Source organism: Homo sapiens, chromosome 1 (genome assembly GCF_000001405.40).
Source record: "Homo sapiens chromosome 1, GRCh38.p14 Primary Assembly".
NCBI classification, from domain to species: Eukaryota; Metazoa; Chordata; class Mammalia; order Primates; family Hominidae; genus Homo; species Homo sapiens.
In genome coordinates this window covers 175,012,890-175,038,771 of record NC_000001.11, presented here as the reverse complement: position 1 = coordinate 175,038,771, position 25,882 = coordinate 175,012,890, and the positions used below count along the sequence as shown (strand labels likewise).

The following is a 25,882-nucleotide window of genomic DNA, read 5'->3' as shown; positions in this document are numbered from 1 at the left end:
ACTGCAAGGTTAACAAACCCATGTCTATATCTGAGAGGTCTATATGTTCTCAGAGGAAACAAAGATGACTAAGATGTAGTAACCCAAAAAACATCATTAACAGTGACTAGTGTCAATCTTCTTTGATTCTTTCTAAGTATTAAAATCAACATGGGCCAGGCACAGTGGCTCACACCTGCAATCCCAGCACTTTGGGAGGCTGAGGTGGGCAGATGACTTGAGCCCAGGTGTTCGAGACCAGCCTGGGCAACATGGAGAAATCCTGTCTCTACAAAAAAATACAAAAGTTAGCCAGGCATGTCCCAGCCACTTGGGAGACTGAGGTGGGAGGATCACCTGAGCCTAGGGAGGTTGAGGCTGCAGTGAGCCATGATCATGCCATTGCACTTTAGCCTGGGTGACACCGTGAGACTCTGTCAATAAATAAAATCAACATGAATCAAAACTCAAACTATTACTATAGAGGGGTAAAGAATAACCAAGTGAGGCAAAGGGGAGAAAGAGGACACTGTGAACGGCCTCTGTGGTAGCTATGGACATCCACATACACAAATGTATTCAGTAGGGAAGTATCCACGTGTGGGTCTGTTCCCTCATCTCCATTACATCAGCTTTTCCTATGGGTCACCATTTCCCTTCATTACTGAAACACTTCTTCTCTTCCAGAAGCAGACCCTGTGGTTACCTAAAGCATGGGGCTGAGGTTTTGTACAGAATCCCAACTCAAACCCAAGTGGGAGTCACAGCCTGATGTCAAACCCCAAGGACAGATTTCAGACATATGAGATGAGTCTAATTTCTACTTTGCTGATTACCATAATCTGTAAGATTATACCACACATAACATAAATCCTATTCAGTCTTTCCACAAATATTTATTGTGTGTGCATACCATTGTGCTAGGGATTGTTCTATGAACTGGGGATACAGAATTGAACAAAATAGCATAGACTCTTCATCATCGTCCCTGCCCTTATGGAGTTTACATTTCTAGAGGGAGAGAAAAATTAGCACTCCCTGTAATAGAACGTAATATGGTTTGGCTGCATCCCCACCCAAATCTCATTTTGAACTGTAGTTCCCATAATCCTCATGTGTCATGAGAGTGACCCGGTGGGAGGTAATTGAATCACGGGGGTGATTACCCTCATGCTGTTTTCGTGATAGTGAGTGAGTTCTCATGAGATCTGATGATTTTATTAGGGGCTTTTCCCCCTTTTGCTCGGCACTTCTCCTTCTTGCCATCATGTGAAGGAGGATGTGTTTGCTTCCCCTTCCACCATGATTCTAAGTTTCCTGAGGCCTCCCCAGCCCTGCAGTACTACGAGTCAATTAAAGCTCTTTCCTTTATAATTACCCAGTCTCGGGCAGTCCTTTATAGCAGCGTGAGAATGGACTAATACAGAAGGAAGTCAATATTAACAAAGTATTGATCTGTAGTCCTATGAGAGGAGTAAATGCATTCATGATAGTTTCTTCTTCATGTATCATTTAAGAAATTAACACTAGATTTCTCAGTGCTGTACAGGATTCTAATGAACATTAAAACATGACCCCGCAGCTTGTGTCGTATGGAAATTGAGTGATTTAGGTAGTTACCATCATATTTTTTTTCTCTCTTCTTCTCCTCATATAGAACAGAGATACCAAGGGTATCAATTCACTATGAATTATATCCAAGGGAGAGGAAAAAAAAAACCCAAATGGAATACCGAAAGCAGAGGTCCAGCAAGTAGAACTCAATCCTGTAAACCATTTGATCAAAAAGGGGTTTACTGAATGCTGAATGCCTACGATGTGCCTCAGGCTTGTGCTGTGTGCTGTGAGAAACCCCAGAAAGTATTATGGCATGAATTCCACCCTCAGAGACAAAACAGGAAACAATTAGTGAATAACACAGAAAAATTATTTTAGCTCTTTATTGACAACACAAAGCAAAGGATACAAAAATGCATCTAGAGATAGTTTTCATTTTCTTTTCTAAAGTAAATCGGGACAAAATGCTAATTCACCTGATTTGACTGACAAGTGATACTCCCAGCAGGAGACGAGGCACATTCAGGGACATTTTTCTTACTCTAGCAGCAGTTAGCCTGAAGGCAAGGGATGGGTGGAACTTAAGGATCTCTGGGTTTTCTAGATCAGGCCCTGGGAGAAAGCTGTGGAGAGGGTCTTTTTGGCAAACATGGAATGTAAAGGGAACATGCTGTCTCTGGCTCCTTCCCAGGCCCCAGCATGGACTACAGACATAATAACATGATACATACTTCTACTGCTCTAGGGCTGCCGGGTGACCTGCAGGCTCACCTGTACTGTGTATCTTCTGCAGAAAAGGGACATCAGCTTTGTGCTGGTATCATCAGGATGTGCCCTGTAGCTTTGCAGAAGTTTTCTACTCTTGAATCCTATTAACTTATGGCTCTTTGATATTTTTGTCCCCATGGCTACTAAAAGCAATGCACTTAAGCTAAATTGCTATTAGTAACATTTTCCCTTTTCATTAGATGGCGTTGGAATTTAGAAAAACCAGGAAGACGAAAAAGAAAAGAGAATAAGGAGAAATGATGTGAAAGAAAAGGCTGCTTTCCTATCTACTCTTTATTTCCCGCAAATGAAAATTTGTTAAGGATATTGCAAAGAAAATGGGTGTGACCTCATCCCTGAAACCACATGAAACATTGTGTTTCAGCCTGGGCCACAGGCAGCTGGGAGGGAGTGCCTTGAAGGTCACTGAGAGAGATTCAAAACCTCAAAGTGTAGGCTTTCCTTGGGCAAGGGATGAGAGAGGCACCCACACAATGGTAAGTGAGCAACAGAATCAGCTGGACACTCAAAAAGACCATCATCTTGAGCACCGAGGCAGCAGGAAAAGAGAGCGCTGCTGGGGCTCTCCTGGAGCTCGGCTGATGCAGGAGGTCTGGAATCCACAAAGGCCAGGTAGCTCCGGAGGTCCTCATCTATTCAGGTAGCAGGCAAGGGCTCTCTTGGGCCTTCCAGAGGACTGCAGAGTGACCATGTCTGCTTGGCTTTCAGCCCGCTGTTGAAGATGTTGGTGAACATCACCTTATTGACATCATCCAAAGTTTGCTGGGTGTTGGTCCTGGGCAGGGCAGCATCCTTGATGTTAGAAACACAGAGGTCGGGCTTCACCTCTGGCCTCTGGACTTGGCTTTCTTATTAGAGGGACAAGACATATGCTTTACAACTGTGTTTTATTGACTTTTATTTATTTATTTTTTTGAGACAGAGTCTCACTCTGTCGCCCAGGCTGGAGTGCAGTGGCGCAATCTCGGCTCACTGCAACCTCTGCCTCCTGGGTTCAAGCGATTCTCCTGCCTCAGCCTCTCCAGTAGCCGGGACTACAGGTGTGTGCCACAACACCCGGCTAAATTTTTTTTTGTATTTTTAGTAGAGACAGAGTTTCACCATGTTGGCCAAGCTGGTCTTGTACTCCTGACCTCAAGTGATCCACCTGCCTCGGTCTCCCATAGTGCTGGGATTACAGGCATAAGCCGTCGCGCCCAGCCACAACTGTGTTTTAGAGAGGCTCATGAAAGCCCTTCATGCCCCCTATTGTCCTCTTGAGGATACTTTTGCTCCTCTCCTCTGAAAGACAGAAAAAGTTATCCCCATCATCACTCTAAGTGTGGTCTTTGCTATGCTGGAGAAAAGTGAGATCAAAGTGCATTTTCTTCTACAATACTAGACTAGCAGGTTGTATCCATAGAGGCTGGACTTGAGGGGCAAGTCCATGAGCAACGAAGAGAGAATTTTGTGCCTGTCCAGTCCTTTCCCATTTAGTTTGGCAATGTTTGGTTAGGACACGGCCAAAGGTAAGAAGTTGACTCATCTCATTCTAATTTATGAGCACCTACTACATACCAGACACTCTGCTAGGAACTTGCATATTAAGTTGAAAACCACACATTTCCTTAGGGAACTTTCAAATGGGTTGAGGAAATTAATACAAATATAATACTAAAAGAATTGTATATGAATAGATCAGTCCCTCCTTTCCTGACTCTGACTTCCCTCTGATTCTATATGAAATTCTAATAAATATGTGCTTACCTTTGTACATCTCTTCAGAAATGCAGAATTGTCAAATCTTGTGCACACAAATTATAAGTCATTCTTAAAGGGGTAAATGAGGAAAAAAGGAATGGGGAGTTGAAAATAGGAAAAGGAGGTAAAACAGGGGGTATAAGAAGTAGATGTGTTTGCATTGAAGTCTTGACAAAGATAAAGTAGATGAGTATGGTGGAGTGAATGACGTCCACTCCAAAGTCATGTCACTCACAGCCTTAGAATGTGACCCTATTTGAAAGTCAGGTCATTAAAACATGATGAGGGTAAAGATTGAAATACAATCATGCTGGATTAGGATGGGCCCTAAATGAGAAGGTTCTATTCAGAGACAGAAAAGAACACAGAGTCACACACAGGAAAGCAGGCTGGGTGAGGACAGAAGCACAGATTGGATGCTGCTGCCACAAGCAAAGGAACATCAGCAGTCACCAGAGGCTGGAGGAGGAAGAGGCAAGACAGCGTTCTCCCCTAGAGCCTTTGGAGGGAGCGCAGCCCTGCTGCCAGCCTGGCTTTGGACTTCTGACCTCCAGAAATGTGAGAGGATAATGTTTCGTGACAATTTGTTATTGTAGCTGCTGGAAACACAAGGAGGAAGGGTAACCAGGTTCTTAGCACTGGGAATTGGCCTGAGAGGAAGGAGGTTGCTAAGATGGGAAAGAGGAGTTGACAGGTGTGCTTCTGCACACAGATACCAGGGCCATGCCTGAGGCGATAAACCCCAGGAGCTGGGTAGAAGGGCTGACAATTACCCACTGAGCTGGGCCTCATTGGTTAAATAAGATTGTCCTAAACCTTTCTATCTCAAGCACCAACTTACTTAACATCTCTGAATCATGACAGAATTATAAAAATGTAATGCAGCCACAAGCCAGGGAGCCCAACCTGGCAAACCTCATGGGCTGAGAGTCAGGCCCATGTGCCCCCTGGGCCAGTCACAGTCCTATGATCCCAACCTGCACACTGTAGCCAGTGGCCCGGCAGGCAGAACTAGAGGGGTGGAAAATCAACAATCCTAAGTCTGCAAGGCAAGAAGACATTGAATATGTGGATGGAAAATGAGACTCAGAAAAGGAAAACCTCTCTGCATGCATATTATCTGCAACAAATCAAAACAAATAAGCAAGCATCTCGAGATTGCAGGAAAGAAAATTTAACACTTCTTTTTTTGAAGTCAGGAATAGTAAGTGAAAATTGAGTGCTATATCCACTACTACTAATTTAAAATGTGCAAAATGTCAATCGCATTGTCTTTATTTAGACATCAGCTTTGATAATTAATGTAAAGATGACTTTCCATAAATTTACCCCCCCTCAGAGCCATATTTTTCCACGTGATCTCAAGTTCTGCAAAAGAAAAATGTCCTTTCTCCTTACCAAAACCCCTGCAGTGATTCCAGCCTGACGAAAAAGCGCACTCAGGTCCCTAAACTCAGGCAAGCTAACTAAAACATTTACATGGGACTGTGTTGACATGTGACATATTCTGCAACACTACCTCCCCTATCTTGTCACCTGCTCCTCACCTCCTTGGGTGACAGGAACTGGTATGTGCCTGTGTTCAATTAAGCATTTGATGAACTAAAGGGGACTGAATGGAAAGGCTGGCAGAAAGAAAGGCTTCGAGAGGAAGAACCACTGAAGGGGAAACAGATGAACAATCCAAGGTGGTCAGAGGTGTTTATGGGGAGAGATGGAAAATCACGGTGCTGCAGGCATTGACAGCAATCATAACATCATGTTAAGGGGTTTAAACTTTATTTTGTAGGTGATAAGTAGCTACCAGAAATGAGTAGTTGTAGTCCTAGAAACTTCACTTTGGCAGCAGAAAAGGATGAATGCTTTTGTGGGAGAGATGATGGGTTAAGTTTAAAAAAAAAGAAAAGGGAGAGGCAAAACAGCAGGTAAGAGTCCAGTTGGTCCTAGTACAGAGAAGAGATGAAGAGGGTCTGAACTAGGGGAGTGGGAGCAGGAATGGGAAAAATTAAATAAACAATTTGAAGTAGAATCAACAAGATTTGGATGATCGGTGGGAAGGGATATTTTTTATCTGAGCCTGAATTCTTCCCACCACCCACAAAAGAAGAATCGCACGGTGGCTCACGCCTGTAATCCCAGCACTTTGGGAGGCCAAGGCGGGCAGATCACGAGGTCAGGAGATCGAGACCATCCTGGCTAACACGGTGAAACCCCATCTCTACTATAAATACGAAAAATTAGCCGGGCGTGGTGGCGGGCGCCTGCAGTCCCAGCTACTCGGGAGGCTGAGGCAGGAGAATGGTATGAACCCAGGAGGCGGAGCTTGCAGTGAGCCAAGATCGTGCCACTGCACTCCAGCCTGGACGACACAGCGAGACTCCATCTCAGAAAATAAATAAATAAATAAAATAAAATAAGAAGAATCCAGGACAGAGGTGTGTGTGCCATTTGTTTATTTGGGAGCAAGAGTGAGGGATCAGGGCAGTGGAACAAGAACGAATGAAAAAGAGAAACAAGGACGCCACTAAGTGACTACTAAGTTAGCAACTGCTGCGGCTGACTGGAGCTTGATGTCTCGCTAAGGCCTTCCAAGGAGCCTTATGAAATGTGTTATCCCTTGGCTTCCATCTCCATTGGTTTAGGGTGTCCCCATGGGCATCACTCCCCCTGCACTTGAAGCTATGCATACATGACAGCTGAGCAGGCTCCTGGCTCCTCAGGTGTCCATACCAACACCAAAGAAGCCCCAGGGCAAGGCATGAGAGGTTCCTGATGTGAACCCAAGGTGAGTGTCACTGCAGCTGGACTAAGCTGGTAGCAGCCTGCTTGGAAGTGGTCAGCCAGGCAGTAGCTGGAGCAAGAGGTCTGGCTAAAGACATGAGAGAAAAGGAGCCAAAGGTGACTCCTATTCCCAGTGAGGCCATTCGTCAAGACATAAGGCCTTTAGAACAAAGGAGGCAATCTGGAGGAGACAGTTTTTACTGAAGTTTATGTGGGAACGCAAGGCCTTACATGGGCTCCCCCTGTGCCCCCAGTGTTCTCACCTCACCTACCTTCTTCCTCTCACTCACTTGGCTCCAGCTGCTGCCTCCCTGTTCCCCCTCAGACACACCATGCACACACCCCACTCAGCCTCCACAGCTGCCATTCCTTTTGCCTGGATGTCCTTCCCCCAGAGCCTCCTAGCTCACTCCCTCACACCCTTAAGGTCTCTGTTCAAATGCTGGCTCATCAGAGAGCCCTTCTCTGACCACATTAGGTAACAGTATCTCCTACCATAATGCTCTTTTTACTCTGCTTTTCTCTTCATAGCATGTCTCCATTTGACACATAATTATTGATTTGTGAATGGCTCTTCCCCTTTCTCCACTACAGTGTAAGCTCCATGAGGGCAGGGACTGTGTATCCTGCTGTATCCCCAGCTCCTAGAACAGTATCTGACATGTAACAGGAACGTTCAATAAATGTTTGCTGAAGGAATGGATGCTTACTAGCTCAGATTGGTACACGTGGAGTTGAAGGAGCTCTGGCACCTGGGCGAAAAGGCTCATTGGAGATATAAGTGTGGACTGGGAAAATGCAAGTGGCTGAGATCATGAGAGCCTGTGACCTGGGCTGGCTTTGCAGGTATGTCACTCATGTGTCACACAGCCCCTGCCGTTCTTGTGTGTTTGTGTGTGTCTGTGCATGTATCCCCATGCCTTCAGGAGAGCCCTGTGCTTGGTTTAATGTTCTACTGTCACTATCTTGAAATTCTGAATCATTATGTTTTTGAATTTGTGTCTTGTAAGTGAGGTCCAGTGGGACAATGGAACATCTGCATGAGCAGAGGGGACACATGTGCCCATCGTTCCTTGCTGCTCCCTTTGTATGATGCCCCATCCACATGGAATTCTGGTGGCCCCATGATGTATGGGAGATTAATGGGACTCAAAGCGAGTCCAAGGTAAGAGTACTATGTCTATGACTGAGTCAGCTGGGGCACTGGCAACCCCAAGAGGCCACTAGAACTTGCTTCCTATACATGAAGGTGTTGACATTCTAAAAGGACAATAGTTCCTTTTCCTTTCAGTCCTCTCTTACTCATGAGTAAGCCAAAGTCAGAAGGTGCTGGTAGAATGCACGTGGATCAAGAAGTAAAATAAAAGCAACTGAGTTAGTTTTATGCAATATTTTCACTGTTCTGGTAAGAACAAAACACAAAGGCATATACAAGCAACAAAATAAAAATTGTATAATTTCACTGATTCTGCCTATGAGTTAAATGCTCTTACATTTGCACGGTGAACTGGCATTCCCCAATATGACGATGAGTGGTAAAATTGATGCTAATGATTTAAAAGTACATTTAATGATTTTGTTTTTCTTTACTTAGAACATTAATAGAAAATTTAAAAATCCCATAACAAGTCCAGAGTCCAGGAAAGAAAGGAAGAGGCTTCATATTTTACTACCTTTAGCAGCACTTTTTTCCCTGCTTTTTGAACAAGAGGCCCTACATTTTCCTTTTGCACTGGGCCCTACAAATCACATAGCCTGTCCTGCCTTTGACTCCCACGGAGGCGGCAAACTCAGTCTCAAACACAGGTCCCACTTGACGATAGGCGAAGTGTCATTATTTTATTTGGGGGACAGCTGTGTGTGTGTGTGTGTGTGTGGTGTGTGTGTGGTGTGTGTGTGTGTGGTGTGTGTGTGGTGTGTGTGTGTTCAGTTTGCATCAGGCCCTGTGTGTGGGAACCGAGGATGGCTGTGTGTTGGAACGCAGATGTAGTAATACTGCCATCTCGTGTTCAGCGTGGTGCACAGCACATAGCTCCAGGGAAGGCTCACAGGCATGGGACCTGTGGCTGCTTCCGGAAGTGCTAAGGCCATCCACACTCTAAGGCCAAACCGGTAAACCAATAGGATTGCTATTCCGCTGGTAGCCTTTAATGAAGGCAGATGTGTAATGAGAACAGAGGTTTCACCCACTATCCATCACACCATTTCAGAGCCACGGTTGAAATGCGTGTGTGTGTGTGTGTGTGTGTGTGTGTGTGTGTGTGTGTGTGTGGTGCATGTGTCCCCGTGCCTTTCGCTCTCCTTCCACAGGTTCTTTTCCTTTATTATCGCTTTCTTCCTCTTTGTAGTTCCCTCTCATAGCCCAAGAAATCTGGTTCTTTTGAGCCATATCCAGCTCTCACGTGGAAGGCCCATGATGAAGCACCAGGGGAGTGCATTGGGGCAGGTGTTCAGGCCCAAGGTTGCTGGTGACTCAGCTGAGGCCAGCTAAGAACAAGCACACACCAAGTAAACATTCTTACTGTGTGGCACCAGAAGCTGCAGTCAAGTTAGTTTTGTAACTTGCCAGTTATAAAATAATGAAAAGGAATAATTAATTAGTCCTCTCAGAAAACAGAGAAGTTAAGGAAATGATCATTCCTGTATTAGGTAAAGATTAGACACCAAAAGGACAGTTTACTTGATGGCATACACAGAAGCCAGAGAAATGAAGACGAAGGGAAGAGTGAATGGCTTGGTACTAAATATGAACGAAGCAAGCATCCCTGAATTCTTAATTTCTTGCTGCTTTGGTCAGGGTTCGGCCTGTGCCTGTCCCCAAGAATAAGCCAAGGATATTGATGGGGACCAGGAATGACCCCTTCCTATATGCACCTTGAAAAACAGATTTTTCAAATACTTTGGGTGAAATAATATAAATATAAAAAGACAAGAACAGGTTAATATTTTTAAATCAACTTCAACACATATGTGAATCTAATAGTATAAATTATAGAGAAATTGGAAAATTTTAAAGACCATAAGAATAACCAGTAATCTGCTCACTCATCTCTACTCTTAATATTTAAGAGTAGCCTTTTTTAATCTGTCTATTCTATACCTACACCTGTATCTGTAAATATATATATATATATTTTAAATTAGAAACCCATCAGATTTTTAAATTTAGGATTATAACTTGATTTCTTCATTTAACCCTCCACTTACTGTTAAGTTATTTATTTGTTGTTATAGATAAGACAATGATAAATGTCCTTTTATATAAAATTTAGAGTTTCTCAGTATTTCCTTGGAATAAATTCCTCAAAGTGGCATAATTGGATCAATAGTTACAAACTTTGAAAAGACTTGCCAAATTGCTTTGCAGACAAGTTATGCCAATTTATATTCTTATCACTCGACTATGAAATTACCTATTTCCTCACACCTCTGACAATGCCGAATTTTTTTTAACCTTTGCTAATCTGCTAGCTTAAATAGATCTCATTATTTTAATTTGCATTTCCTTGGAAACTAGTGAGGTTGAACACATCTAATGTTATTAGACAGTCTGAAAATTGTCTACTAAGATTTAAAAGTGTAAAAAATATATTCAGCTAGGCATGGTGACTCACATCTGTAATCCCAGCACTTTGGGAGGCCAAGGCAGGTGAAATGCTTGAGCTCAGGAGTTCAAGACCAGCCTGGGCAACACGGTGAAACCCCGTCACTACAAAAAATACAAAAATTACCCAGGTGTGGTAGCCCACACCTGTAGTCCTAGCTACTTAGGAGGCTGAGGTGGAATCACCTGGAGCCCATGAAGCAGACTGAGGTGAGCTGAGATCGCACCACTGTACTCCACCATGGGTGACAGAGTGAGACCCCATCTCAAAAAATAAAAATAAAATAAAACAATAAAAATTAAAAATATATTCATTTTTATTTTCTTCTGTTTTTTAAGCCTTTGTTAGTATTTACCTTTTTATCTAAAATTTGATATGTGGTAAGAGATGAAGATATAATTTTTCCCAAATCTTTACCCAGTTGTTCTAGCACTAGTTGTTTAACAATTTTTATGCTTCCTTTAATACATAACCAAATTCTAATTGCACTGGAGTTTCTATCAGGCCTATCTATTCTATTTCACGTAACTGTCTGTTGATTTTGGCGCCAGTACCACATAAGCTCAATAACTACGGCTCTATAATGTATGGTATATTAATATCTGGTAGGGTAAGACTATTCAGTACTTTTTTGTTTTCAAAAATGTCATGGGGTGTGGTGGGTCACACCTGTAATCCCAGCAATTTGGGAGGCCGAGGCAGGAGGATCTCTTGAGCTCAAGGAGTTTAAGACCAGCCTGAGCAATATGGCAAGATGAGACCCCATCTCTACAAAAAAAATACAAAAAATTAGCTGGGTGTGGTGGCGCCAACCTGTAGTCCCAGCTACTCTGGAGGCTGAGATGGGAGGATTGCTTGCACCTGGGAGGTTGAGGGTGCAGTGAGCTGTGAACCAGCCATTAAATTCAGCCTCGGTGACAGAGCCAGACCCTGTCTCAAAAAATAAAATAAAATTCATGGTTTTCTATAAGGGAGTTTCTACCTCTCTTCCATCCACTCATCTTATATATATTTAATAAATATATAAATATTCAATATAAATATATATTAAATATATAAATATTCAATATAAATATATATTAAATATATATTCAATATATATAGAATATATATATTCAATATATATATTAAATATAAATATTCAATATATATTCAATATAAATATTCAATATATATTAAATATATAAATATTCAATATAAAGATATATTAAATATATAAATAATGTGAATATATAATATATAAATATCTAATATGAATATATAATAAATATTTAAATATCTAATATGAATATATAATAAATATATAAATATCTAATATGAATATATAATAAATATATAAATATCTAATATGTATATAATATATAAATATCTAATATGAATATACAATAAATATATATTTAATATGAATATATAATATATAAATATTTAATATGAATATATAATATATAAGTATTTAATACAAATATATAATAAATATATAAATATTTAATATGAATATATAATAAATACATAAATATTGAATACGAATATATAATAAATATATAAATATTGAATATGAATATATAATAAATATATAGATATTGAATGTGAATATATAATATATATTTAATATGAATATATAATAAATATATAAGAATATATATAGATTAAAATAGATATATATTTATCTATTTCAGTATTTCCTTGGAAAAATTCCTCAAAGTGGCACAACTGGGTAAATATATATCCTTATTAAATATAGATAAGGATATACATTTAATATATATTTATGAATATAATATATACATATATTTATATAGATATATTAATAGATTATATGTAATAAATATATTTAATATATAGTATATTTAGAGTAACATATATTATATACTATATATTTATAAAATGTTTATTAATATATATTAATATATTATATAAACACATATTTCTATATTACAGTATATATTATGTATTTATATATTTATATATTTATAAATACATAATATATATTTATATTTAACCTATATAACCTAAATATATACATTTATTATAAATATATATTTATATAATATATAGGAGTATTATATATATTGAAGTATTGACTAAAATGGCATGAAATCCATACATTAATCAATTGATACATTTTATAAGTAAGAATTCTGTGACAACAGTCAGGCCTTTATCCTGAGCCATCGCTCCTCCAGAGGACAACATGGAGAGAGGATTAAGAGCATCTGCCTTAATATAGACCAAGGCAGGCAGATCACGAGGTCAGGAGATCAAGACCATCCTGGCTAAAATGGTGAAACCCCGTCTCTACTAAAAACTACAAAAAAATTAGCTGGGCATGGTGGCGGGCGCCTGTAGTCCCAGTTACTCAGGAGGCTGAGGCAGGAGAATGGCGTGAACCCGGGAGGCCGAGCTTGCAGTGAGCCGAGATTGCACCACTGCATTCCAGCCTGGGCAACAGAGCCAGACTCCATCTCAAAAAAAAAAAAAAAAAAAAAAAGCATCTGTCTTAACGTTCTTAGCTCAGCTGGCTTGGCCTCTCTATGCCTCAATTTCATTATCTATACAATGATTCTTATAATTTAATCAGGCCCAGAATAAATATAGCAACATAACCATCTCTCACAATCAAATTTAAAAATAATTAACTCTTAAATTTTATTTTATCCACCCAAAAAGTATTTTTAAGCCTTCAAAGGAAAGAATATAAGGAAAAAGCAAAGGTAATATAACCATCCTTGGTAGATAGCTCCACTTCTGTCTAAATCTATAATCCCCAGTGGAATTACAAGTATCAGAAGGGCTGGGATTTTTTTTCAGTCTCCGATCTGACACATACTTACACATTCATATATAACAGGCATTTAGTAAATATTTTCTGAATGATTAAATGAATTATGATGGTTCTCCTGATTCTAATATTCCAGGACAGTAAAGACAACAGCCTTTCCCACATTCTGTTAAGTAGCCAGAGAATTAGAGACTCCTTGGGAAAATTCAAGGTAAACCGAGACTTCTTTAGGCCCTGCCAAGTGGCCCACACACTAAGGGGGGAGTGCACACTGGGGGTCTGGGGGGAAATCTTAGGCTGTTTTAAAAAACCAATACAATTAATTAAAGAAGACCCTGGAGTCTTGTCTCAGTACTTCAGAGTTTCCTGCCTCACTCACACCATTAGGTTGCTTTACTCTCTTCTTAAAGCAAAAAATGGCCTAACAAGATCCTAATGCTGTTTAAGATATTTGTACACACATGTTCATAGCATTATTCACAACAGCTAAAAGGTGTAAGCAAAGCAAGTGTTAATGACAGATAAATAGAGAAACAAAATGTAGTGTAGCCAAACAATGGAATATTACTGAGCCATAAAAAAGAACGAAGTGCTGAGACATGGTGCAGCATGGATAAACCCTGAGGATGTTATAAGTGAAAGAAGCCAGTCACAAAGACAAAACACTGCATGATTCCACTTAGATGAGCTACGTAGAGTAGTTGAATTCATAGGGACAAAAAGTAGAATGGTGGTTGCCAGGAGCTGAAAGGAAGGGGGAATGGGGACTTATTGTTTAATGGTAGAGTATTTTAGTTTTGGAAGACACAAAGTTCTGGAGATGGGCAATGATGACAGTTGCACAGCAGTGTAAAGGTACTTAATGCCCCTGAACTGTACACTTAAAATGGTGAGGATGGGAAAATTTATGTTATGTATATTGTATCACAATTTTTAGAAAAAAGTTACTAATGCTGTTTAAAGATGCTTTCACAAGTTGCCAGATAGCTGAATATGTGGAGGTTTCTGGAAGATGGCCCCACCAGGAAAGGGCATGGAAGCTCCAAGCCCCATCCACCGTGCCTTGTCCCACACATCTCTTCCAACCGACTGTTCATCTGTATCCTTTTCAGTATCTTTTTTTTTTTGTCTTGCTGTGTTGCCAAGGCTGGAGTGCAGGGATGCAATCTCGGCTCACTACAACCTCTACCTCCTGGGTTCAAGAAATTCTCCTGCCTCAGCCTCCCGAGTACGTGGGATTACAGGCACCTGCCACCGCACCTGGCTGATTTTTGTATTTTCAGTAGAGACTGGGTTTCACCCATATTGGTCAGGCTGGTCTTGAACTCCTGACCTCAAGTGATCCACCTGCCTCAGCCTCCCAAAGTGCTGGAATTACAGGTGTGAGCCACCATGCCCAGCCTTTTTTTAATATCCTTCATAAAATCAGTAAAAAGCCAGCAGGGCTGCACTAGCAGCTTCCAGGGTATGAACATCTCCACCACCCATAAGAGTTCTGGATCCTGGGCTACCTCTTCATCCAACAGTATTTTGCCATCTTTGAAAGGGCAAACGATCAGCTTGGCCTAACTCCCGTGGCTTAAGTCTAAGTCTTTCTGACCACTTTCCAGGAAGATCTGGCCTAAGTCCTGTGCCCGCTGTAGATGTATATAATTCTCCTGACTGTTCTTCCTATGGGATTGTAGAGGTGGACTCTTGCCCTGTTCCTGGTCACACCAATAAGGTAGAATTAAATCATAACCTACAACAGCAACAAAAAAGATGCTTTCAGAACTAGTTTTCCAGAAAGGAAGAAAAGAGTGCACAGAGCTAGCTCGCCTATTTCATGACCCGCTTATAGAAGATGACCCCAACTGTGGGTAGGGAGAGAAGGGTATTACACGGGCTGCAACACACGGGGCGGGTCTGGCTGCGCCATCAGCATCAACGCGGCGCCTTCAGATTTGTCATTTGCCCAAGTTCCGTGAAATATCGCGAGAGCTCCGATCCCAAAACTAACCCCGCTTTCCTGTAGGCCACATTCCCACCCACCTCCCAGCTCCGCCCCAGGCGGCCCAGGCCCCGCCCCTCGTGTCCTGCGCTATTCGGCAGTGTCAATAAAGTTTCAGCGGTTTGTAGTTTGTAGCGGACAACATGGCGGCCTTCATGCTGGGCTCGCTGCTGCGGACGTTCAAGCAGGTCAGGCCTCTACTTTTATCCACACCGCTACCCCTCACCGCTGAATCTCATAACCCACGGGTCCCCCACGGCTCTGCCACCTGTAGTGCTCGGTGAGGACCAGTCCAGGGGTTCTCCTTCCGCCCTCTTCCGCGCTTGGGCTTGGTTCAGGGGAGGTCCGAGCTGCAGATGTCAATTTGGTTTTCGTAAGCATATGACTAACTGGTATTGGAAGATGTGAGATTGACTCCGATTTGTAAGGGAGTAAGCAGATAGGAGACGAGTTCCGAGGATTGAGCTCTCAGAGACTTGTAACGTTAAGAGATGAGAACCGTGCAAGGGAGACTGAAAGGAGTTGTCAGCTAGGGAGATGGAAAACTAGGAGAGTGGGATGGCCGGGAAGCAAAGGATGACAGAATTTCAAAGTGTGAGGAGTGGGCAACTCTGCTCAAAGTTGATAAATCAATTAAAAAGAAGTGCTGAGAATTGAAGAGTTTAGCAGTGTGAAGGTTGTTGGGACCTTAATCACAGCTGTTCTGATGGTGTTATGGGGACGAAAGCGTTCAAGAGAATAGGAGGAAATAAAGTGGAGTATAGATAAGCCTTTAAAGGAGCTTTGCTGTAAAGGAGAGCAAAAAAAATGGGTCAATAACGGGGGCGGGGAGGGGGGTTGTTTTCTTTTAACATGGCAGGGAAAACAGCATGTTTGTGTATGAAAGGGAAAGATCCTGTAGTAAAAATTGATGATGTAGAAGAGGGAAGAATTGCTAGAGCTGTACCTTTATGTAGGCAAGAGGCAATGGAGGCTGGTTCGAGTGCAGTGGTGTTTACAACTAATTGATCACAACCAGTTACAGATTTATTTGTTCCTTCTCCACTCCCACTTTTTCACTTGACTAGCCCTAAAAAAACCAAAAACATTTAAAAAAAAAAAAAAAAAAGAGAGAGAGGCTATGGGGTCTTGTGCATGAAGTTTGGTCTTAGGAACCTGGACAGTTAATCTGTAGCAGTGTTGTTCATAGAAATATAATGTGAACCACATGTGTAATTTAAAATTTTTCTAGTAGCCACATTTAAAAAATAAGAAATAGATGAAATTAAGTTTAATATAATATTTTATTTAACCAGGTATATCCAAAATACTGTGGTTTTAACATAGAATCAATATAACAATGACTTATGAAATAGTTACATTCTTTTTTTTCATACTAGATTTTCAAACACTTAAAGCATATCTCAGTTTGGGTGCTAAATTTCCCATCATTAAAATGGGAAATATAGTTCTACCAAAATAATAAAGTTGTTTAATGTTTACAATGCTTTGGTTTTGAATTTTAATTAAAATAAAGAATTACATTCCCCAGTTGCACTAGTTATATTACAAATGTTTAATACCCCTATGTGGTTAGTGGTTACTCTGTTGGACAGAGTGGATCTCTGATAACAGGAGGGAATGTAGAACATATGATACAGATGCTAGTAAGTGAGCCACTATGTTGGTGAGCATTTATAGAAATGCTCTTTTGATTTCTTCTAATTTTATAATTAAGGAGAAAGTGAAGTCATCAGCTGAGTGTGAGGATGTGGGAGCAAGTGTCAGAGATTTAAGGGGAGAAAGACCCTGTAAGAGAGTTGGAAATGGACAGAAGGAATGGTCAGGAGAATTGGAGTAAGTACAGAGAAGTGAGAGAGGGGCCAGAGAGTTGATGGTGTATTCAAGAGAACGTTGTATTTATAGAACAATGGAATTCAGGCTAGGTGAGAGAGGAAGACAGTAAATCAAAAGCTGAGTGAAAAAAGTGAAAAATGGTAGGATCAATGGATTGAAAGTCCCAGAAGGATTGTTATTGGGGTGTTAGAAGGAGCAAGCTAGAAAGAAGTGATAATGAGTTGAGATATACAAAGTGAGATAATAGCTTGCACTTATTAATAATAAAATACCCACAACATGGGCATGGAATTGAATAGTTAAACAAGAGTGGAGGACAAAAGTCATTGAAGGAGAGGTGTTAAGAAATCAGAGTGATCAGGGTGTAATTTCATGTATATTGAAATAACCAGGAATTAAGATAGGAACAATATTGGAGAGAGTGACAATAAGCCAGGATCCAAAATCGTGGAAAAATGAAAGGGAGTGGCAGGGGCTTTGGTAGATGACTGCAACAATGAGAGGGAGTGGAAGGTAGTAAGCCCAATGGCATGAGTCAAAGCCAGGAGCTTTCAGGAAGGAAGGAGAACTCGAAGCTGCAATGAAGAGCAAGGAAGACACTTACCTATCCCACCTCTAGGCCCAGTTATGGAAGAAAAAGGAGCTACAGGAAAAGCTGTGAGGAGGGATTTAAAATTCGGCCAGAGCAAAAGGTGAAGGAGATGTCAAGAGAAATTGAGAATTTAAAAGATTTTGATGATAGACCATGGATTGAGAGGGCCCAGTGGAAAGGTTTTAGGAGCTGAAGAGGGGTGAGAGATGGGGGCAGGATAAGATGTGTACAGAGCAGAATAGAGTGTGGCCTTAATCTATAAAGCACCATTATAAGCTGGTAAGGAAATACACCACAGTAGAAATGCAGACAAAGCACATAAAAATGTTCACAGAAGAAATAATATAATAGGCCAATAAATATTTTATTTTAAAAGTGTATTACTTTGGGATTTCAAGACCAGCCTGACCAACATGGAGAAACCACATCTCTACTAAAAATAACAAAATTAGCCGGGTGTTGTGGCACATGCCTGTAATCCCAGCTACTCGGGAGGCTGAGGCAGGAGAATCGCTTGAACCTGGGAGGCAAAGGTTGCGGTGAGCCACGATCGCGTCATTGCACTCCAGCCTGGGCAACAAGAGCAAAACTCCGTCTCAAAAAAAGGGGGAAAAAATGGATATTACTTTTCTAGTAAGAAAAAAAGGTATGCAAAATAGAGTGAAAGACTATTTTTAAAAACTAATAGAAGTCTTCTAGGAGAATTTGATTAGGAATACTTTGAAAAAGAATTCAAAGAAGAAATGCTTAATCTTGTTTTCTAAATCTCCTGTACCCTCAATTTCACAGGTAAAAGCAAACCTCACATTGCCCCTCAATGTGAACGGTTTCTTTGATTTCTCCTTGATCTTATGAATATATCTTGTTCTTTTCCATGTTTTGTTTGGACAGACTACCTTTTCTCCCCTCCCCTGTCCCCACTTTAGTCAAAATTCTGTCAGCATTTCAATGTTGAATTGCTGTCAAGATTTCAAAGCCCCTCTTTCTGTGACAAGCATGTCCATCCATGGTTACCAAGGCATTCACTGGACTCAGTCATATGCCACATCAATATTTAAATTCTATTCCTGCTTATCTTTTTTTCAAAAGGTGATTGCAGAATTGTTATATTTCCCCAAGGAACTTTTGTTTAGTAATGTGAGCACTGAAGATGTTCAGTTTATCTTTTGTTAATAGATTGAAAAAATGGTGGCTTTCTATTTATAGTATTCTTATTTTCAATTTTATATTCTGCTATACATATATTTCATTTATAAACATCAGTTATCAGAAGCCATCATTTTTCTATAGGGGCAGCTTAATTAACATGTAATATTTCCTCTGGTTTGAGAGAGACTTATCGTTTCTTGTGATCTATACTCCCTTTGCCTGTCCTGTCAGTCAGAACTGTAAATTATCACCGTGAAAATGTGAGACAACAAGGAATATACTGTCTTATTACTGGACAACTAGTGCTGAGAAGTCTTAGGTCAGTGATAGTTTTAAAGTACCCTTTGACCTAGCAGTTTTGCTCCCAATAATCTATCCTCATCAGGCACAGTGGCTCATGCCTATAATCTCAGCACTTTGGGAGGCCAAGACGGATGGATCACTTGAGGTCAGGAGTTCAAGACCAGCGTGGCCAACATGGTGAAACCCCATCTCTACTAAAAATACAAAAAACAAAACAAAAAAAACAGCCAGGTGTGGTGGCGGGCACCTGTAGTCTGAGCTACTCAGGAGGCTGAGGCATGAGAATTGCTTGAACCCGGGAGGTATAGGTTGCAGTGAGCCAAGATTGCGCCACTGCACTCCACCCTGGGTGACAGAGCTAGATTCCATCTCAAAAAAGTAAAATAAATAAATAATAATATATCTTCAAGATATATAGGAATACATATGAAATGATTTCCAAGACATTATTCACTGCAGCATTGTTTATAATAATAAATAGTGAGATCTGTCCAGCAATACGTGGCAGGTTAAATTATGATGCTTCTATATAGCAGATTATGCAATATGAAGAAAATGGGGAAGCTTTTTACATTCAGTTATTGAAAGATCTCTAAGGTATATTGTAAACTGAAAAGAGGGAACGAAAAATGGGAGGGGAGTGTATACAGACAAAAATCTCTGAAGGATATACAAGAAACTAGAAACAGTGGATACCTGTGGGGCAAGGGAGTCATTGGGCAGGTGAGGAATGAGGTGGGGGGAGACTTTTCACTGTGTGTCTTCTTATACCTTTTTGATTTTTGAACCATGTGACTATTGGCCTAAGTACAGGTCAAACAGAATAATAAAAATTTCTGAAAATCTGTCTTTCACCTTCCAATACATATGTTATTGCATTATATTATTATGATTTTGACTTAATATACATCCATAAAAGTTATTTATTCTGAATAAATTAGGAAGTCTATTATCTTAAACTATTAAACTGATCTAAAACAACTCTTAAAAGAATACTAAATGATAAATAGTGGCAGAAAGAGAATTGCAGGGTTGAGGAACACTCAGAATGTTGTCCTGGCTATCCTTCACTTGTCCCTTGTCTCTGTCTTTCAGATGGTTCCTTCATCAGCTTCAGGCCAAGTTCGAAGTCACTATGTAGACTGGAGAATGTGGCGCGATGTGAAGAGACGAAAAATGGCCTATGAATACGCAGATGAGAGGCTACGTATTAATTCACTCAGGAAGAATACCATTTTGCCAAAAATTCTTCAGGTTAGCTAATTAAGATGAGTCCCTTTGTACCACAAGATCATTAACTCAACATCAGATCACTTTTGATACTGTTTGTTGTGACTTGGTATCAATATAATTTCTGGAGAATAAGATCCACATCAATATAAACAAATAGTCTTGAAACTGATTTTGTTGAGTTTCAAATTAAAGACTATTCACTCCTAACTAGCCTTACAACTGTTTCATTATGCCAGCCTTAGAAAGTACTGGTAAATTGGGTGGTTATTTTCACCTAAGGTCTCTCCCTGACTTCATCCCAATTTTTTTTTTTTTGAGATGGAGTCTCGCTCTGTTCCCCAGGCTGGAGTGCAATGGCTCAGTCTCGGCTCACCACAACCTCCGCCTCCCAGGTTAAAGCAATTCTCCTGCCTCAGTCTCCTGAGTAACTGGGATTACAGGCACATGCCACCATGCCTGGCTAATTTTTGTATTTTTAGTAGAGACAGGGTTTCACCATGTTGGCTGGGCTGGTCTCGAACTCCTGATCTTGTGATCCACCCATCTGGGCCTCCCAAAGTGCTGGGATTACAGGTGTGAGCCACTGTGTCCAGCCGCATCCCAATCTTTTAACTGGCAAGGCATTGGGAGGCATTGCTGATGTTGAAGTCTGTGTGCCTGGTACGCGGCCTAAACTGTTCCTTACCTAGCACCATTCTGAGCCTGTCTTCCTGAACTCCCTTGCCCACCCTCTGTGTGCTGAAGTGCCTTTCCATTAAGGCTTACTTCCTTGTCACCCTGCTTGGCTTTCTGAAGCATAAAGTCCTGCACCTAAGTGGTGATGTAGCATATCTGCGTTCAAAAGGCTCATCAGGGAGATATAAATTAAACTCAAGGCCTCTCAAGTTATTGAGAACTCAGATTTTTAAAAAACTACATTTAGAGAAGTTGGCAGAATGATATACATCCTATTTATTACTATGGTTTCTTTTTAGTCTTGTCTGGATTAAGCCAGATGAGCAGAAAACTGAGAGCCTTGGACCACTGGGTTATGGCTTACACTAAAGTGGCATTAAGCTACTTTCCTACATTTAGGGAGTAATAAGAAGTGGCAGGCCAGGCACAGTGGCTCACGCCTGTAATCCCAGCACTTTGGGAGGCCGAGGCAGGCAGATCACCTGAGGTCAGGAGTTCAAGACCAACCTGGCCAAACCCCATCTCTACTAAAAATACAAAACTTAGATGGGTGCAAGTGGCACACCCTGTAATCCCAGCTACTCGGGAGGCTGAGGCAGGAGAATTGCTTGAACTCGGGAGGCAGAGGTTACAGTGAACCGAGATCACGCCAGTACGCTCCAGCCTAGGTGACAGAGCAAGACTGTGTCTCAAAACAAAAAAAAAAGGGCAGGGGGCCCCCAAGAAACTGAGCTCAAGACATTGATCATAGAGGCAGGGAAGCAGGATGATGGTTGCTTGGAGCTAGGAGGACTAGGGGGTATGGCGGGCAGGGGGAAATCAGGAGATACTGGTCAAAGGGTATACTTCCTGTTGTAAGATGAATAAATTCTGTGGAGCTAACGCACAACACCGTAACTATAGTCAATAGTACTGTATTGTGTACTTGAAATTGGTAAGAGAGTAGATCTGAAGTGTTCTTACCACACATACACAAACGGTAATTTTGTGAGGTGAAGGATGCATTCATTAACTTCATTGTGGTAATCATTTCACAATGTATATGTTTAGCAAATCATGACATTGTATGCCTTAAATATATGCAATTTTTATTTGTCAACTATACATTAATACAGCTGGGGGTGTGTTGTTTGAGTACCTTTATGAAGATACCCAGAAGACATGTCTCTGGTATGACTAGCAGCAATAACTGTGCAGAGTCTGTGAATCATGTAAACTGATCATGGTTCTCTGCTGCCTGCCAAGTAGCTTACAAGTCAAATTTATGTCCCAGTTCTAATTTCACAGCATGCACTTTTGTGTCCTGAGGCTTTTATCTTTCCTACTCTCATTTCTCTTTGCCCCAGTTTCCTCATTTGTAAACTGCCTTAAATCTTTCGGGGAACAAGAAGGAAGGGGTATGTATCAATCAATCAATCCATAATTTCTAGCCATTCTTTAAGGTCCACCTCCATGAAACTTGGCTTCAATCTTCTTGCCCAGTCATTTCTCCTCTCCAGTTCCTTGTATAGCATTTATTGTTTACTACTCAATGGCTCAATCATGGTTTTTTTTTGTTTTTTTTTTTTTGAGATGGGGTTTTGCTCTTGTTGCCCAGGCTGGAGTGCAGTGGCACAATCTGGGCTCACCACATCTGCCTCCTGGGTTCAAGCGATTCTGCTGCCTTAGCCTCCCGGCCAGATGGGATTACAGGCATGTGCCACCACACCCAGCTAATTTTGTATTTTTAGTAGAGATGGGGTTTCCCTATGTTGGTCAGGCTGGTCGCGAACTCTTGACCTCAGATGATCCGCCTGCCTCGGCGTCCCAAAGTGCTGGGATTATAGGCGTGAGCCACTGTGCCTGGCAATCATGTTGTTTTATGTAATTCTGTTAGTTCATAATGGTAACACATGCATAAGCTTTTGTTAATTTTTGGCTTTTATATACTTTCATTTAATTTGTGTTATTTTAATGTGTTATTTTGCTTGCACCGCAGTCTAGCACAGGGTCCATCTACTTGTTAGCACACTTATCAGATTAAAGTGAATATTATGAACACTCACACTCTTGAACACATACATAAGAAGAAATCTCTACTGACAAAACCTGAGCCCTAGCTACTGCTGTAATCCCTACTTTTCTCCCCTCAACCACTTTGCCCTTACCTGATTCATCCTCTACCTTGCAAATGATTTTTTTTAAATATAAACCTCATCTGATCTCTCCCCTTTACTTCTCTAGCTGTCAGAATCTTTACCATAGACATCAGGGCTCCATGTGATACTCTCCTTCCTCCTTCTCTAGTCTTATCTCAAGCCACATTCCCTCCTATTTGATCATCATTCCAGAGGTTTCACTTTCGTGATTCAAAAAACATGAGGCGGCAACAGAAATACATTCACATACTTTACAAATGAGTTAAACAAGAGTATGTAGCTGCACTATTTATATTCGCCCAAATCGTAAGATGACCATCAAATGTAGGATGGATAAATGAATTATGGTACTCATGCAATGAACATTACCTGCCAGTGGCCAGGCGCTGTGGCTCACACCTGTAATCCTAGCACTTTGGGAGGCAGAGATGGGCGGATTGCCAGAGCTCAGGAGTTTGAGACCAGCCTGGGCAACGTGGTGAAACCCCGTTTCTACTAATAATACAAAAAATTAGCTGAGTGTGGTAGTGCACACCTGTAATCTCAGCTACTCGGGAGGCTGAGGCAGGAGAATCACTTGAACCCAGGAGGCGGAGGTTGCAGTGAGCTGAGATTGTGACATTGCACAATCTAACACCCACAGCCTGGGTGACAGAGCGAGACTCTGTCTCAAAAAAAAAAAAAAAAGAAAAGAAAATTACCTGCAAGTGAGAAGGAGCAAAATACATGTGCAACAATGTAATGTGATCTGTGTAATAATGTGATTTCCCTTAGGATGTGGCTGATGAAGAAATTGCTGCCCTCCCCCGGGATAGCTGTCCTGTTAGAATCAGAAATCGGTGTGTTATGACGTCCCGTCCGCGTGGTGTGAAGCGGCGCTGGAGGCTTAGTCGTATAGTCTTCCGTCACTTAGCTGACCATGGGCAACTTTCTGGGATCCAGCGAGCGACATGGTAAATGAGCTCCAGAACCTATTGAGCTTGCAGGGAAGCCAAGCTTGCAGTTCCAGCAAGCAAAGATTTTTTTTAATAGACCAAACCCTAATCTCTACAGGGGCCCAGTACAGTTGTTTGGCCTACCTGATGCTATCTCTAAACTACTTTTAAAATGAAGACATTTGGGTGTTTCATGTCAGTGAATTATCTTTTCTCTTGGACTTAACAAACATACTGTTCCCATACATAGTACAAAGAGTAGCATAATAAATATTTTCTGTGAATGTTTTTTATACCCTCCTTTTAAGTTTAATCTTTTAGTAACATATAGGGGTTTTTGTATTAAGAGCATTATTTCATAAAATGCTATCTTATACATAATCCAACTAATTGACATGTAGCTCATGTATGGCAGTTTGTAATCCTGGACTAGCTTTGCTGACCTGCAGAGCTCCCCTTAACTATTATTGTTAGATAAACAGATTGGATAGCAAGGCTGCTGTTCTGGATTATCTAATGCTCCACTTCTTCTTGTGATGGCTGAACAAAAGAACCACTAAGTGTTTTCTTGTCCATCCTTAAGGGACTTTAAAACAAATTATGCCTCTTTAAGTCCTTGAAAGTCTCCATCTAAAGAGGAAAAGTTTGTTGGAACAGTATATATTCCCTATTTTTATGTTTATTTAATCCATAACAGAAATGAGTAAGGGTAGCACAAAGTTCTCATTCAGTAACTCAACAGTGTGATCATCAGCCCAGTGATAAAAATATACATACTGAATGGAAGTACCTACTTAACATCAGGAAAATATTCCTGGAGAACTTAATAAATCAGGAGGTGAGGGGTGAGATTTTTTTCTGCACACAGAGGGAACAAAAGCACAAAGAAGCAAAGGCACTCTGTAGCATCAGAGAACCACAGTCACTTCAGTAGATCAGAAATATGAAGCACAAGACAAGGCCCGTATTGTGGAGGATCTCACAAATCATGTGAAGGAATTAAGACTGACATACCAGGTATTACAGAGTTTTAAGCACAGGAATGACATCATCAGTTTGTAATACAGGTAAGTGACAGCTGTGTGGCAGATGGCCATGAGAGGAAAAAGCTACAGGCAAGACAACCAGTTAGGAGGATGTCTTAGTTGTTGAGGAAGATGAAGGCCTGAACTAACATTGTGGTATTAGTAGAGGAGAGAGGACAGATTTTTAAAGTTTTAGGAAAGAAAATTGGGCAAGACTTACAAGACTGATTATATCTAAGAGGTAAAGATGGTTCTCTGGGTTCCTGATAAAAGTGTCTAGATAGATGGTAGAGGGCAATTCCAAGAGGGCAACTCCAAGATAGAAAATTTGGAAAAAGAACAAATTTAGGGGAAACAGAAGATAAGCGAGTTCAGGTTCCAGTCATGCGGTGTTGGAGATGCCTGTGTCATCTGATGAAGACTAGTACGCAGCTGGATAGCAGAGTCCGAAACTCAGGTGGAGGTGAAGTTATGAGGGAATTATCACAATCTAGTTTGGATTCATATTTCTTAAATATGTATGACAACTTACCAACTGGAATGTTCTAGCTAATATCTCAACTTAGAATCCATCTCACTACCAATGGGCAAACACTTGTGTTCTAAAGTTACTTGCAAGTAGTTTATACTGCCAACTTGATATATATACATGCTATAGTTTGAACATTTTGTGTACTTCCAAAATTCACATTAAAATCTAATCCACAATGCGTTGGTATTATTAAGAGGTGGGGCCCTTAGGGGTGATTAGGCCAGGAGGGCTCCACACTCATGGA

At 40.9% G+C, this 25,882-nt stretch overlaps 1 protein-coding gene across 2 annotated transcripts, besides 1 other annotated feature; it reads left to right on the top strand.

The window, feature by feature from the left end:
• On the top strand, positions 15,347 to 25,814 carry MRPS14 (mitochondrial ribosomal protein S14). Of its 2 annotated transcripts, none has more exons than NR_037606.2 (3): positions 15,347 to 15,500; positions 20,196 to 20,354; positions 23,921 to 25,814. NR_037606.2 is itself a non-coding variant. In NM_022100.3 (3 exons), the coding sequence occupies exons 1-3, from the start codon at positions 15,364 to 15,366 to the stop codon at positions 24,101 to 24,103; spliced, it is 387 nt and encodes a 128-aa protein (NP_071383.1). In that variant the 5' UTR covers positions 15,347 to 15,363; the 3' UTR covers positions 24,104 to 25,814. The 2 variants fall into 2 exon arrangements, 1 of the variants encoding a protein (NP_071383.1); NM_022100.3 differs by having other exon boundaries at positions 15,347 to 15,408.
• Positions 15,367 to 15,616: an enhancer, noted in NCBI's record as "active region_2128". NCBI's record gives its function as "activates an Ori minimal core promoter by ATAC-STARR-seq in GM12878 lymphoblastoid cells {active_cell/tissue: GM12878}" and the evidence as "EXISTENCE:reporter gene assay evidence [ECO:0000049][PMID:35858748]".

What these genes read in the sequence shown, in the direction of transcription:
- MRPS14 (NM_022100.3), top strand. Translation starts at nt 15,364, where the DNA reads ATGGCGGCCTTCATGCTGGGCTCGCTGCTGCGGACGTTCAAGCAG. An exon ending in TGCTGCGGACGTTCAAGCAG is followed by an intron (nt 15,409 to 20,195) that starts GTCAGGCCTCTA and finishes TCTGTCTTTCAG; the next exon opens with ATGGTTCCTTCATCAGCTTC. An exon ending in TTTTGCCAAAAATTCTTCAG is followed by an intron (nt 20,355 to 23,920) that starts GTTAGCTAATTA and finishes GATTTCCCTTAG; the next exon opens with GATGTGGCTGATGAAGAAAT.